The 16,467-nt window shown below is 41.3% G+C and overlaps 2 annotated features.

The window, feature by feature from the left end:
• Positions 5,697-6,196: an enhancer, noted in NCBI's record as "H3K4me1 hESC enhancer chr2:159639703-159640202 (GRCh37/hg19 assembly coordinates)". NCBI's record gives its function as "activates a minimal SCP1, AML or CMV promoter by ChIP-STARR-seq in naive H9 embryonic stem cells {active_cell/tissue: H9 hESC(naive)}" and the evidence as "EXISTENCE:reporter gene assay evidence [ECO:0000049][PMID:30033119]".
• Positions 15,249-15,418: an enhancer, noted in NCBI's record as "experimental_53410 CRE fragment used in MPRA reporter constructs". NCBI's record gives its function as "activates a minimal promoter by MPRAs in K562 erythroleukemia cells, with activity observed for both the introgressed and non-introgressed 2:159649340 variant alleles {active_cell/tissue: K562}" and the evidence as "EXISTENCE:reporter gene assay evidence [ECO:0000049][PMID:34662402]".

The following is a 16,467-nucleotide window of genomic DNA, read 5'->3' on the forward strand; positions in this document are numbered from 1 at the left end:
TTTATCATAGGTATGTATGTATTTTTTTTAAACATAGTATATATAGGATTCAGTACTATCCAAGGTTTCAGGCAACTACTCGGGATCTTGGAGCATATTCCCCTAGGATAAGGGGGACTATTGAATTGTGTCCATCTTGTATGCGCTTATGGAAAAGAAATGTGGAGGTACTGTATTGCAGAATAATACTGTCATCCAAAATACAGTTAAACGAGTCAGATGGGCTAATTGACCTCTACTTGGCTCTTCTTGCCCTGGGGGTCCGTCACTCTGCTTCCATATTGTTACTATTATTACTACTCGCTGTTTTCCATCCTCTTGCTGTGATCAATGCCTGACCCAAAATGCTATTCTTCTGCCTCATTTTTTAATTCTGGCAGGATTTCAGCAATGAGCAGTGTACTTTCAAAGCACTGCACCTTTCAACAAAGGTGCAGTGTATATTTAATACTAGAGTAATTTTAAAAACATGTTTCACTATAAAAAGAAAAGCAACTAAGATTATTGCATAGGGACTCACTTTTTATAAATTTTCATTCTTTTGCACAATGTTGACCACATCATCAAATTGTTGTGACATTTTTTAGGCAGAGTTTAAAGTCTATTTTTTCCTGGAATATTCAGATCAAATTTCCTTTTCCTTTTTTGCTTAACCCAAGGTGAGAACAGGAGCAGATATTACCGTATGTTTTTAAAAGATTATTTTGATTTCCTTTCTGGGTAGAGCTGGTTATTATCTCTATTGCTCTCTAAAGATCAGAAGATGAAAAGAACAAGCAAATAGAGAAAACAAAAGGCATGTGATAAGAGAGTTTCTATATTGCCTAAGTGATAGTTTGCCATAGTACATTGTAGCGAAAAGGTTGCACAAAAGTTATAAGCAAAGTATGAAAAAGTTAATAGAAACAGCCTATCCTTTGTAGAGATAGTTGGTGATTAAGATGCCCTGGGGTGGAAAACAGTTTGTCAGTTTCTTTAAAAAGTAAACATGTAACTACCATACAGCCTAGCAATCACATTCCTGGGTACTTATCCCAGGGAAATGAAGACTTACGTTCACACCAAAACCTATATACAAATGTTTATAGTATATACTATAAAGTATATACTGTAGCTTTATTTGTAATAGCCAAAAAGTAGAAATAGTTCCTAAAATTGTTTATAGAAATGAACTATTTATTTATATATTTTGTTTATCTATCTACACCAGAGTAATAAAAAGAAATGAACTATTAATACATGCAACAACCTGTATGAATTTCCAAAAAAAACATGCTGAGTGAAAAAATCAATCCCCAAAAGTTACAGACTGTATGCTTCCATTTATAGAACATTCTTGAAATGACAAAAATTACAGACAATGGAGAACAGATTAGTTATTGCTGGGGATTAGGAAAGAGGTTGGCAGGAGGGAAGTGTGTGAAGCCAAAAGGGTAAGAGATTCTAGTGGTGAAGGGATGTTCTGTATCTTGACTGTATCAGTGTCAATATCCTATAGTGATATCGTATTATAGTTTTGCAAGATGTTACCATTGGGTGAAACTGGATAAAAAGTACATGGGATCTGTCTGTGTTATTTCTTACAACTGCATGTGAATCTACAGTTACCTCAAAATACAAATTTTAATCATAAAAAAAGATGGCCTTGGAATGTGATCACACCAGACAGAAACCACATAGGTTACCTGGAATGTCCAGTTATGGTCTCTATTCTGGGGTCTCCAGGATGCTCAGGGACTGTAAATGTTAGAAATCAGGATCCAGAGCTATTTTCCATTCATTCAGAAGATTTGTGGAAGTTATACCTTCTCCTGGAGCCCTCAGGAGCCAGACCTTCCATTGCAATGCATGAAGCCAAAGTAACACCAAAGGAAAACTAGACAGCATTTGTCCCACCTCAAGATGTTCAAATTCAATTTTGGCAAAACTGCCCGAATAGAGTCAGCTATATTGGCAGTCAAAGGGTCAAATTGCAACTCCTGCCTCCCAGACTATCTCAGACACGAAGTTGTTTGCTGGAATTGTATCAGTAATAAGAAAATACCCATCCAAACAAAGCTTTGGTCTATACATTTGATTTAAGAAAAGTGGAAATATAAATTGCTCATCAAAAGCAGTTTGGCTGACAAAATCTTTCAAAACATGGAGTCCATGGGATAGAAAACAATGAAAAGAGTGCTTAAAATGGAGTTGTTTTTCTCTCCTAATGAATCAGGATCTGGCATGCTAGGAAGAAAACCAGAATGCATGTGGATTGTGCAAGAAAATGTAATAAAAGTTGATTTTCAGTAGGCTTATTGTCAGAAGAAATACTCTTTGCAGACCTAAGAGCTCTGTTTTATACTGCCCAACACAAAGCACGGAGATCCCTCTGGCTTGGGAGGCACAGGCACACAAGTCTTATTGACATTTCCACTTTGAAACTAAATGGGCTTCAGCAAAGGATATTGCTACTCTTCTAAAGCATTTCCTGCTGGCTTGAAAACACAGAATGCTGGCATTTTTTTTTTCTTTTTTTTTTGATTTTTTTTTTTTATTATACTTTAAGTTTTAGGGTACATGTGCACATTGTGCAGGTTAGTTACATATGTATACATGTGCCATGCTGGTGCGCTGCACCCATTAACTCGTCATTTAGCATTAGGTATATCTCCCAATGCTATCCCTCCCCCCTCCCCCCACCCCACCACAGTCCCCAAAGTGTGATATTCCCCTTCCTGTGTCCATGTGATCTCATTGTTCAATTCCCACCTATGAGTGAGAATGTGCGGTGTTTGGTTTTTTGTTCTTGCGATAGTTTACTGAGAATGATGGTTTCCAATTTCATCCATGTCCCTACAAAGGACATGAACTCATCATTTTTTATGGCTGCATAGTATTCCATGGTGTATATGTGCCACATTTTCTTAATCCAGTCTATCATTATTGGACATTTGGGTTGGTTCCAAGTCTTTGCTATTGTGAGTAATGCCACAATAAACATACGTGTGCATGTGTCTTTATAGCAGCATGATTTATAGTCATTTGGGTATATACCCAGTAATGGGATGGCTGGGTCAAATGGTATTTCTAGTTCTAGATCCCTGAGGAATCGCCACACTGACTTCCACAATGGTTGAACTAGTTTACAGTCCCACCAACAGTGTAAGAGTGTTCCTATTTCTCCACATCCTCTCCAGCACCTGTTGTTTCCTGACTTTTTAATGATTGCCATTCTAACTGGTGTGAGATGATATCTCATAGTGGTTTTGATTTGCATTTCTCTGATGGCCAGTGATGATGAGCATTTTTTCATTTTAAAAAGCCCAGTTATCTATGTGAGTTTGCTCTTGAAATCAGTTCCTCTCTCCCTCCCAGCCCTGTATTCCCCCACCTTCTATTTTATACAAGGTATTTTTTTAACTTTTATTTTAAGTCCAGGGATGCATGTGCAGGATGTGCAGGTTTGTTACGTTACATGGGTAAAAGTGTGTCATGAGAGTTTGTTGTATAGATTATTGTTTCATCACCCAGAATACTAAGCCTAGTATTCATTAGTATTCATTAGTTATTTTTCCTGATTCTCTCCCTCCTCCCACCCTTCACCCTCCAATAGGCCCCAGTGTGTGCTGTTCCCCTCTATGTGTCCATGTGTTCTGATCTTTTACCTCCCACTTATAAATGAGAACATGTGGTGTTTGGTTTTCTGTTATACAAGGTATTCTTTTCATCTGCTTTTTTACCTTCTCCTTTCTCTCTTCTGCCCAATTTTTGACATTTCTAGTTTTTGCCTGCTACCATAGCTATTTTCTGACCCTTTCCATGGTTCACAGGCTTAAGATTCCTTTTTTTGGCATGCCTATTTTCATGGAATACACACTGGTAGCAGAGGAGAACCCTAAAATGACTATTGATCACACTGTTTGTCATATTGCCTTTGAGGTGTACCCATGAGATTCTCTGGTGATCTGAATCAGTGGCGCTCCATTTCTTAAGTGGAATTCTAGAAGTCACAGCTGCCAACTCTCCTGCTGACTGCTCTTCATGCCGCACAATTAAGAGTGAAACACCTCCCACAGCTGTCTATCCTGGTATTCTCAGCATCATCAATAACATGCATCTATTTTCTGCCAACTGCATGCCATGTGATCTGAATAACAAACAGAGCCTACTCTCAAAGAGCTCCTAATCCTGCCCCAAAGGTAGGAGAAGTGCAGGCAAAGAGTGAAATGCTGATGTTGCAAGTTATCCTGTGCTAAAATCCACAAAGGGGCTGAAGAGACGGAGTCCAGAGTCAAAGTTCCTCTCCTGATTGTTCTGCGTCTTAAAACCCATGACTTACTATTTCCACCCACACCCAGCCTTGGGATTTCCAACAGCACACTGACTCAGCATTCCAAAGCAAAGGGAGTGAAATGAAGGGACTGTTTTGTAAAAGTTCTACATTAAGTTGTGGTCATATAGGAAAGGAAGAATTGTATTATAAGTATTTACCTTGGAAAGATTTTTTTTATTCAGAAATTAAATTCTTGGGTAAGACAATCCATTACATCTATTACTATAAAAATTTAAATATGTGTGTATAAATGTGTATAAATGTGTGTGTATAGCCATTTTGAAAATCTCCAACCAGTGTTATTAAAGAGAAGATTACTTTCAGAAAGTGGGTGTTTTCTCACAACTTCTCTTCAAGTAACAGTTGAAATTAAATTCTACATGATCTGTCGGTGTCTTTGGATTCTCATTTATTTTTCAATTTCTAAAGCACACCAGCCGTTTGTGAGATCAGAATCACATGCATCCACAGCAAAATACCCAAGAGAGAACAGGGCACGTGCACCTCTTTTCCAAGCCCGCGTGCTCCCAATCCAGGCAAACACAAATCTTTCACATGACTGCAGTTTCTTTTATACCCACAGGGAAGGGCGACGGAAAGGAGGGCCATCCGCGGAAACCTTTCAAACAAGCCACTTCACTTGTCGATTCATCCGTTTATCACTTTAGGTATCACTTAGGATCATCATAAGATGTATTTAGGAAAGTCATTTTTGTGGTTTAAATAAGATTAATCGGATTGGCAGAATTTTAAGGCAATTGCAGATACTGTAGAATGGCTTTGGGAAAGTAACTTTCCACTGAGACACCACTCAGGCTACTTGTCTTTGAAGAAATGTAGTTTTTAAAGTAACACAAAACAAGGAAATTTGATTCCCTTTTAAAAAGTACTTATTGAAGATCTACAGGTTGGTTCAAATTCAGGATACTATGAGATTTAATTCATCAATCCCACAAAGTATGGTGAATGAGAAGAGTGGAATGATTGCAGGAGCAACTCACAGACTGATGGGGTCATGGAAGGCGTGGGAGTTGACCAAGAGTAGAGGATTATAGCAGACTGAGGAAAATGAAAGCTCAGAGGCAGGGAAAGGAGAGTGGGCGACAGTCATTTAGACACCGAAAGTCCAATATGACTACAGCCGAGACCCCAGCCACCGAGGCCTCCTGGAAAGACATCTTCCAAGCCCCCTAAATTATCACTCACGTTTTTGAGGCAGCTGTTTGTTTCTTTGTTTGTTTTGTTTGTTTTTTGAGATGGAGTCTCGCTCTGTCGCCCAGGCTGGAATGCAGTGGCGCGATCTCGGCTCACTGCAAGCTCCGCCTCCCAGGTTCAAGTCATTCTCCTGCCTCACCCTCCCGAGTAGCTGGGACTACAGGCGCCCGCCACCACGCCCGGCTAATTTTTTGTATTTTTAGTAGAGACGGGGTTTCACGGTGTTAGCCAGGATGGTCTCGATCTCCTGACCTCATGATCCGCCCACCTCGGCCACCCAAAGTGCTGGGATTGCAGAGGTAAGCCACCACGCCCGGCCTGAGGCAGCTGTTTTAAAAGTGAAACATAATAAGCAAGATGAAAATATTCTTATTCTGAGTCAAATTAAAAAGATGGTAGAAAAATGCCTGAAATCTAAATACATTCTGACACAGTAAGCCAGCAAATAAATCACACAAATATCTTTTTTTTTTTTTTTTTTTTTGAAGTGGAGTCTCGCTCTATCGCACAGGCTGGAGGACAGTGGCACCATCTCTTCTCACTGCAACCTCCACCTCCCGGGTTCAAGTGATTCTGCTGCCTCAGCCTCCCGAGTAGCTGAGATTACAGGCACCTGCCACCATGGCCAGCTAATTTTTGCATTTTTAGTAGAGACGGGGTTTCACCATGTTGGCCAGGTTGGTCTGGAACTCCTGACCTCAAGTGATCCACCCATCTTGGCCTCCAAAAGTGCTGGGATTATAGGCGTGAGCCACCGCGCCCGACCAAATCACACAAATATCTGATGCTGAACTGGGGACTAAAGGGAACTTGAACCAGAAGGGCAAGTTTTTTCTGTGAGTCTTTCACTGTGTTAAATATAAAAGCAAGCTACCCACATTGTGCATTCTCTCTTCTCAAAAATGAAGTTGTGGGTTTCTCCTTTGGCACTTCATTTTCTATAGAGAGGCAAATTTTGTTTTCTGTATCTAATAGCATTCTTTAGAACAGAATGTCAGCTAAAATGACAGATCAGCCTCAACATTACACAAAGACAACCAGACTTTATGAGCCTGTAGATGTGCCTCAACAGGAAGTACACAATAACACCCTTGGGTATACTTGCCCAAAATAAATCAATCAAGCATGAGTCTGATCACGCCTCTAGATCTAACCACCAGTTTGCAGGAAATACAAAGAACAGGACATGTTCATGCAATACAACAAATCCAGCCAAATCCAGAATGTAGCAAATTCTACAGGACTAAAGACCCAGCGTCTTCAACAAATAATTGCAAAAATAAATTAATTAATTAAGGAAGGGGCCAGTTTGGATTCTGGTGTGAACAAACCATCTGTTAAAAAAAAGATATGAGACAATCAGACAAATTTGAGTACTTACTAAGTATTTAGTGATATTAAAGAACGTCTGTTAATTTTGCTAAGGATACATAATAGTAATACTTCAATGTAATAGCAATCATTACCGTGAAATTATGTAACACCCAGGATTTTTACATCTTAATAGTCCAAGGGGCAAGGGAAAATTTGTGGCAGAAGTGGGGTCGGTCAGGGAGAAGGTTATGGACAATAAGATGGCCATGTGTTGATAATTGCTGAAGCTGAGTAATGAGTGCATGGGGATTTGTTAATGTCATTCTCTCTACTTCTGTACATGTTTAAAAGTGTCAATAACAAAAAGTTTCAAGACCAAGACAGGAGGATTGCCTGAGCCAAGGAGTTTGAGACTAGCCTGGGCAACACAGTGATACCCAGACTCCGTAAAAAAAAATTTTTAAATTAGCCCAGGCGTGGTGGCTCACACCTATAATCCCAGCACTTTGGGAGGCTGAAGCTGGAGGTTCGCTTCAGCCAAGGAGTTTGAGGCCAGCCAGACAAACATAGTGAGGTCCCATCTCTTAAAAAAATTTTTTTTTAAATTAGCTGGTGTGGTGGTGTGCACCTGTAGTCCCAGCTACTCAGGAGGCTAAGCTGGGATGTCCACATGGGCCCAGGGGGTTGAGGCTGCAGTGAGTCATGATCATATCACTGTACTCCAGCCTAACAGAGAAAGACCCTGTCTCAAGAAACAAACAAACAAACGAACAAACAAAAAGTTTTTGTTTAATGAATATGTAAAAGCATTAAAAATAACCAAATTTCCTCTAGAGACTTTTAATATATACATCAATAATTTATATTTCTTTTGATTTACACAAGAAAATTATAAAAGTGTTGCTTGTTGCACTGATTACAGTATATAAACAGCTTCTAAAAAGTAATAACAAAAATGACCAAAATACCATCAAACCCCTACAAGAATCAACATGGTGAATAATAATTCACAGCAAAGAAAATTCAAATAAGTCTGAAGCATTAAAAGATATTCACTGTCTCAAAAAAAATAAAATTAAAAAAATAAATAAACTAGCCGGGCATGGTGGTGTGTGCTGATAGTCCCAGTTACTCGAGAGGCTGCAGTGAGAGGATCAATGGAGCCCTGGAGGTTGAGGCTGCAGGGAGCCATGACCATGCCTCTGCACTCCAGCCTGGGTGGCAGAGTGAGACCCTGTCTCAAACAAACAAACAAACAAAAGATATTCAACAGGCTGAGCACACTGGTTCATGTCTCTAATCCCTGCACTTTGGGAAGCCGAGGCTGGAGGACTGCCCGAGGCCAGAAGTTCAAGACCAACCTCGGCAACGTAGCAAGACCTCATCTCTACAAATAAATAAATAAATAAATAAATAAATAAATAAATAAATAAATTTAAAAATTAGCTGGGTGTGCTGGCTTTCACCTGTAGCACTAGCTACAGGGGAGGCTGAGGCGGGAGTATTCCTTGAACCCAGGAGTTCAAGATTACTGTGAGCTATGATCACCCCACTGCTCTAGCCTAAGTGACAGAGTGAGAACCACCTCTAAAAAGATGTTCAACCTCACTCATACTCAGAGAAGTGTAGACAAAAACAAAATTGAATACTATTTTTCACCTATCAACTTGACAAAGAGCAAGTTGGTAAGACTTGGCAAATTGGTAACACTTGGGGGAAAAAGGCACTCATTTATTTCTGGCAGGAATTGCCCTCCAACATCAATAGAGAGCAATTTGGCAGTATCAGTATTACAAATACACATGTCTTTTGACACAGCAATCTATTTTTAGGAATTTAGCTTATAAATAAAATGGCATACACAGGCAAAGTTGTATTTGTAAAAGATTATTCACTGCAACATTATTTATGGGAGTAAATGATTAGAAACAACTTAAATCTTCATCAGAAAGACACTGATGAAATAAATTCTGATCCATCCATAACATGGAAGGGTACAGTCACTAAGTAATTGCAGAGCTTTTATTTCTAATGAAGGAAGTGTCTTCAAGATATTCTATAAGTGAAAAAAGTTAGGTACACAATAATATATGTATATATTACCATATGTGTTATAAAAATTAAAAAACATGCCGGGCGCGGTGGCTCACGCCTGTAATCCCAGCACTTTGGGAGGCTAAGGCAGGCGGATCACAAGGTCAGGATCGAGACCATCCTGGCTAACATGGTGAAACCTCGTCCCGTCTCTACTAAAAATACAAAAAAAAATTAGCCGGGCGTGGTGGCGGGCGCCTGTAGTCCCAGCTGCTCAGGATGCTGAGGTAGGAGAATGGCGTGAACCCGGGAGGCGGAGCTTTGAGCGGAGATCGCGCCACTGCACTCCAGCCTGGGCAACAGAGTGAGACTCTGTCTCAAAAAAAAAAAAAATTAAAAAACATATGTATGAATTTCTCCTAAATGTATGAAATATCTTAGGAAAACTTATAACTTTGGTTGTCCCCAAAGAGTGGACCTGGAGGTTGGAGAGGGAAAAAATCAATTTTCACTATATTCCTTTTTGTATCTTTTGAGTTTTGAATCATATGAATGTATTACTGAAACAGGGTATTTCCCTGACCCCTTCAAGGGACTCATGACAGGGGCGCCTGGTTTACTCAGCCTGCCACTCAACTCCTCACAGGAGGGAGCACGTGAGCAAACAAGATGTAAACTGGAGTGCATAAGCACTGGAACCACCCTACCACTTCAGCACTGGCAGGAGCAAACTCCGTGTAGGCCCCACGGCAGCATCCAGGTGGGTGCCTGCGACCCCTGAAGCCCCAAAGGGCATGTTACATTGCTCTTTTAGCACTGCCATCCGCAGACTGCTTAAGTGTCAACAGTTCAGCGGGCCCTTTCCCTTTTTGCGTGAGGTGGCTGCCCTTTGCCAGAGCAGGAAAAGAGCCAGTGTGACAGCCTTTTGTGTCCACACTCATGGTTCCCAAGCTCTTGTCCAGCATCCAGGAAAAATGAGGTCACACTAACAAATTGAAGGATGGTAAACGTGGGGGATTTTATTGCCGAAGAAAGTGGTTCTCAGTGGGAAGGGGAGCTGAAAAGGGGATAGGATGGGGTAGGTAATCTTCCCCTGAAGTCCTGCTATCTCCAGCCAGATTATTCTCTGAAGTTACGCCTTTGAGCTGTCCCTCTGAAGTCGACAACATCCAGCCGTAGTCCCCAATGTCCAGCTGCTTCTCCTCTCTGCTGGCTGAATCTGGGGTCTTTATAGGCAGAGGATGGGGTGGGGCAGGGCCCTGGGTGGTTTAGGAAAAGGTAACATTCCAGCGGGAAACCAGGGATATACGTTCTCACTTTGGGCCACCGTTTCAGGCTTTTCAGCTTGAGGATGAGGTTTTCCCTAGGGACATGCCCTTTTCTGCCTGAAATTTCTCTGCCTCCTGTCTCCATCATTACCCATTCAATAAATAAAAACGTAAAAATCTTTGGAGAGATTAAATGAGATGAATAATTTGTAGGAGACTTAACACAGGGCTTTGCCAATAGAGAGATAAATAATAAGTTTATGATTAAATGGATGAATTTGAGGGTTTTCCCAACAGTAGGATGGGACTTACAGAGTGAAGTGGAGTCATCATATCATGACTACAAGGGCCCAGATTCATGAAAAGGGATCTCCAGGCTCCGAAATTCACCGCTGAACCCTGAGTGGCACCAAGAGATGGTGCCCACAGGCAAGAATGTCTTGGTCTTTTAAGCCCAAGGACCAAGGGAATGTTTTCTCCATAATCACTCCCATGATCCCACCACACACACCCCACCTATAATACATATAATGGAGAAACAGCAGAGAAAATACTGAATGAAATCTAAAGAGAAAGCAAACACTTAAACAAATGGATATAGACTAAAGGAAAAAACTAGAGTAAAAATGTCTATAAAGACTGCATTTTATATAAATTTCCAGCTCTAGTTTTTCCTTTAACAGGAAAGGCAGGGAGGGTCCTTGGCAGAGAGAAGAGGGAAGCAGTTAGTGAAGTAAACACTGGTCCAAAAAAGTCACATCTTGGCCCACAAAAGGCTGGCCCTCTTTCCAGGTATGTCTTTCCCATGGCCTAGTCTGGCTATGGTTGGAATTCATTTCAGAATCTTTGATACCTGAAACATCTCAACCCATGGAAAGGGTACAAAACCCTGTAACAGATAACTTACTAGCATCCGCTGCTCAGACAGTATGCTGTCCTTTAGCTGTTTTATTAGTGGTGCATTATACAGCTTCCTGGCATGACTTTTCAGATGCCCAATGCGGGTTTCAAGCTGCTGGACAATAATAAAGACTGGGCCGACAATGGATCAGTAGCAGCTTCTGATCTTTCCACTGCCATCTTGTTATGTTTTACGACTAATTTACCTCTCTTTGTTTCCTTTTATGGCCTTTTCCCACCTGTAAAATGGGGTCAGTAAATTTTGGCTTTATAGAAGATGTGGAAGGTAGGGAATTGCAGAAATTTGTGTTTTAACTAATCTCGAGTGTATTTCTAAAAGTAAAGTGAACTATTATTATCTTCCAATTAAGTTTATTTGCCTCTTGGCTCCAACACTCACCACTAAAACTTCAAGACCCCAAGGCAAGAAAAAATGTACTCTTCATTGTTTACCTTGTTATCAAGATTGGCTAACTTCTAAACTGTGTTTCTATATTCCTGCACACAGAATTGTGATTGTTTTGTTGCTGGGGGAATCCCTATACATAAAAGTGTCTATCTGCATGATAACTCGGAAGAAAGATCCTTACACACCTCTCCAAATTATTAATGGATTCTTTGTTTCAGGTCCAGCAAATGGAGAGAGAAAACAATGAGTGCTTTCTGCTAAAGAATACTAGGAATTAAAAATGTCCTCGGATGAAAGGAAAATCCCAGTGTTTTGGAGAGAGGGAAGAGAAAGACACACTATATCTAAAAAACAGACCAAAAAAGCTGGTAAGCACAGTTTTCTCCATAATGTAACTCCCATAATACCGCACCCCCCAACACACCCCACCTAGAAAACATATAATGGAGAAACAACAGAGAAAATACTGAATGAAATCTAAAGAGAAAGCAAAGCACCTAAACACATGGATATAGACTACAGGGAGAAACTGGAGTTAAAATGTCTAGACAGGCACTGGAAGCTCAGAGACATCTTACAAAACAGGAGGCAAGATGCTTTGGAGAGGGCTTTCTCTAAACCACCTGCTATGGTTTGAATGTCTCCTCCAAAACTCATGTTGAAACTGAATCGTCAATATGCCAGTATGGAGAGGTGAAGACTTTAAGAGGTGACCATAGGGCTCTGCTCTTCTGAACAGATTGATCCATTCATGGATTGATAGGTTAATGGGGCCAGGTGCAGCCTGTAATCTTAACACTTTGGGAGGATGAAGAGGGATGATCACTTGAACTCAGGAATTTAAGACCAGCCTGGCCAACATAGAGAGACCTCATCTCTACTAAAAATTTTTTAAAGATTATCTGGGCATGGTGGCACACATATGTAGCCTGCGCTACTTGAGAGACCAAGGCTTGAGCCCAGGAGTTCGAAACCAACCTGACCAACACGGTGAAACCCGTCTTTACAAAAATGATAAAAATTAGCCAGGTGTGGTGGTGCACACCTGTAATCCCAGCTACTCGAGAGGCTGAGGCAGGAAGATCACTTGAGCCCAGGAGTTTGAGGCTACAGTGAGCCATAATACAGCCACTGCACTCCAGCCTGGGGAATAGAGCGAGACCCTGTCTCAAAAAAAGGGTTAATGGTTATCCTGGGAGGGGAGCTGGTGGCTTTATAAGAAGTGGAGGAGAGGCTGGGCATGGTGGCTCACACCTGTAATCCCAGCACTTTGGGAGGGCCAAGGTGGGCAGATCATCTGAGGTCAGGAGTTTGAGGAGTTCGAGACCAGCCTGGCCAATATGGTGAAACCCCATCTCTACTAAAAATACAAAAGTTAGCCAGGCATGGTGGCACATGCCTGTCATCTCAGCTACTTGGGAGGCTGAGCCAGGAGAAACTGCTTGAACCTAGGAGGCAGAGGTTGCAGTGAGCCAAGATCATGCCAATGCACTGCAGTCTGGGTGATAGAGTGAGACTCTAAAAAGAAGTGGAGGAGAAACCCCGAGTGAGCAGGTTAGCTCTGTGCCGCCTTGGGACTCAGCAGAGAGTGGGACCCCACCAGCAATAAGGCTCTCAGCAGATGCATGCCCTCCACCTTCGACTTCTTAGCCTCCATAACTGAATACTGTTTTTTGTTTGTTTGTTCTTGTTTTGATACAGGGTCTCACTCTATCCCTCAGGCAGTGGCGAGATCTTGGCTCTCTGCAACCTCTGCCTAGTGATCCTCCTGCCCCAGCCTCCTGAGTACCTGGGGCTACAGGCATGCGCCACCACACCTGGCTAAATTTTTGCATGTTTTGTAGAGATAGGGTTTTGTCACATTGCACAGGCTGGTCTCAAACTCCTAGACTCAAGCAATCCTCCAGCCTTGACCTCCCAATGTACTGGGATTACAGGCATGAGCCACCATGCCCAGCTGCTTATTTTTATAAATTACCAAGTTTCAGGTATTCTGTTGTAAGCAATAGAAAACAAATTAAGACACCACCCCACCACCTAAGAGTCACCACCCTCCCAGTTAGCTTTCTTGCCCCTGATTTCTAACATAGATTTCTCATACTTTCAGAACTTAGCATAAGGTACAGCATGTAACTAATGTTAAGAGAAAAAAGAAAATATAAAAATTAGATGCACCCTGCAAATATACAGGTGCATGAGGAAGGTAATGTCTCCCACATACAAATTAAAAGAAGAAAGTGCAATACTACGATGAAAGTGTTGTATGATTTTAAAATATGATTAATGTTAAAGCATCCTTTCATTTTAAGACAGAAAGCTCTCTGGCAACCTCAACGTCGTGAGAATCCATTTTACTAGGCTTTTTGCATTACAAAGCACAATTTCAAATACTTTGGTCCTAGCATGAACTGCTCTCCTGTTGCAGTTAACTCGACTGATGCCATTTTTAAAGTGAGCTTTATAAGCCCATTTAAAGAGTAATAACATGTTGTCTTCTTTCCATGAGACTTTCACCCTGATGGAAGCTCCAGTATGTCCCCAGAGTAAATCACTTGGGCTCCACTTACCTCACAGTGTACAAAACAGGCCTGGGCTTTTCATGACGAACATAAAGAGAAGGCAAGGGAAGACCCCACCCCACTTTGGGGCTGCCCTGTGCTCCTAAGCACACACAGAGGGAGACAGAGTTGGGACCCTGGGCCTCCTCCAGTGGAAGCAGAAAGAGTGGCAGGGCAGGAAGGCTGTGCTGGGCGGGGCCCAGAGGAGGCCACATTGGCCTCATTTTTGCTTTTGCCACTTACCTTTTACCATCACCCTGTGGATACCACTACTCCCGTTCCCTTAGATCAGAATTTTCCAACTTGGATTTCAAGAGCACAAATTCTTTCCTCCCTTCTTTCTTTCCTTCTTTCTTTCTTTCTTTTTCTTTCTTTCTTTCTTTCTTTCTTTCTTTCTTTCTTTCTTTCTTTCTTTCTTTCTCTCTTTCTTTCTTTCTCTCTTTCTTTCTTTCTCTCTTTCTTTCTTTCTTTCTTTCTTTCTCTCTCTCTCTCTCTCTCTCTCTTCCTTCCTTCCTTCCTTTCTCTCTTTCTTTCTTATTTATTTATTTTGAGATAGGCCTTGCTATGTTGCCGTTGAATTCCTGGGCTCAAGCAATACTCCCAACTCAGCTTCCCCAAGTAGCTGGGACTCCAGGTGCACAACACCCCACCAAGCCAAGAACACAAATTCTAGGGGGTTTTTGTTGGTTGGTTTCTGTTTTTGAGACAGGCTCTCAGTCTATCGCCCAGGCTGGAATGCAGAGGCATGATCTTGGCTCACTGCAGCCTTGACCTCCTGGGCTCAAGCAATCCTCCCACCCCAGCCTCCCAAGTAGCTGGGACCAGAAGCGTGTGCCACCACTCCTGGCTAATTTTTGTATTATATTTTTTTTAGAGATGGGGTTTCTCCATGTTGCCCAGGAGGCTGGTCTCTTAACTTCTGGGCTCAAGCAATAGGCTGGCCTCAGCTGCCCAAAGTGCTGGGATTACAGGCGTGCACCACCAATCCTGGCCCTCTAAGGGTTTTTTTTAGGGCCATGAGAACGAACGTTTTCATGATGAAAAATGCTCTGCGGATGCTGCCTACTAAATCCCCCTGGGGAGGGTCACAATGTACATCTGTGAACTGAAGGCTTTACATGCGAATGATGTGAAAAGAAATCCTGTTTAACATTACTTCATGGATAAATCGAGTATTTGCCCCAAAGAAGCCTTCTCTGCTTGGGCATGCATTATATTCTGGTCCAACCACTCATTCCTCCACATCACTTAGGCTGTCCTAGGTGCAGGCTCTCCTAAGGGGTGGTTGCCCTTTGATTTCCTCCTTGCCTTTTGCACTTTCGCAGCTTATAGATATAGAAGATAACCAATAAAATCTGGTACCAAACAGTCACACATCTAGGCTTTATGCTACCTACCTATGCTGTCCAATACCAGAGTCACATGCCACATGTAGCTATTCCTATTTCTATTAATTAAAACTATTTAATTTTAAATAAATTAAAAATTCAATTTTTCAGTTGCACCAGCCACATTTCAAGTGCTCAAATGAATGTGTGGCTTGTGGCTACAACACTGGTCAGAGCAGATACAAACATTTCCATCTTCTCAGAAATTTCTGAGGAATAATGCCACAATAAACCTTGTCAATCATAGAAGGAATTCTGTTAACCTTCTCATCATGTCCATATCCGCATGAGAATGTGAGATCGCTGAAAGCAAGAATGAGATTTTCTCATCTCTGAACCCCAGCTCCTAGTCCAGGGCCCTGCAGGAAAGGCCACTCACAAAATAACTGCTAGATGATATGAATGTTTCCTCTTTGCTCCCAAAAATGTGCCAACCTTTGTCGCAACACTTTACCATACTTTTCCCTCAAAAAAAACTTTTATTAGTTTTTATTTATTTAAAAAGTAATACAGAATACTGAAAGAAGATTTAAAAATCCACATGTAATACTCCCACCTACAGAATGCCACTCTTAACATTTTGGAGTATTTACATTCATTTATTTACAAACAGATTTTTTGTCATTTGTTGAGGCATATTTTGCATATGGTAAAATTCACCCTTTTAAGGTGATGTGTGTATGACGTATGATGAATGTAACAACCACTACAATCAAGATACAAATTATTTCCATCACCCTCAAAAAGTCACCTCCTCACCTTTGTAATTAAGCCACTCTCCCCAACCGCTCTCCAGCAATCACTGATCCAATTTCTGTTCCTAGGGTTTCAACTGTTCAAGAATGTCATGTACATGGAATTATATAGGAAGTAGCTTTTTTTAGTCTGGGTTCTTCCATTTAACGTGTTGCTTTTGAGATTCATCCATGTTTCCCTTTTTATTGCTGAGTTATATTCTATGATATAGATACACCACAATCTGTTTACCCATTCTACAGTTGAACTTCGGAGTTGTTTCTAACTTTTGGCAATCCTGATAGAGCTGTTATAAACATTTGCACATAGG

The sequence above is a fragment of the Homo sapiens genome, chromosome 2 (genome assembly GCF_000001405.40).
Source record: "Homo sapiens chromosome 2, GRCh38.p14 Primary Assembly".
In the NCBI taxonomy this organism is placed as follows: Eukaryota; Metazoa; Chordata; class Mammalia; order Primates; family Hominidae; genus Homo; species Homo sapiens.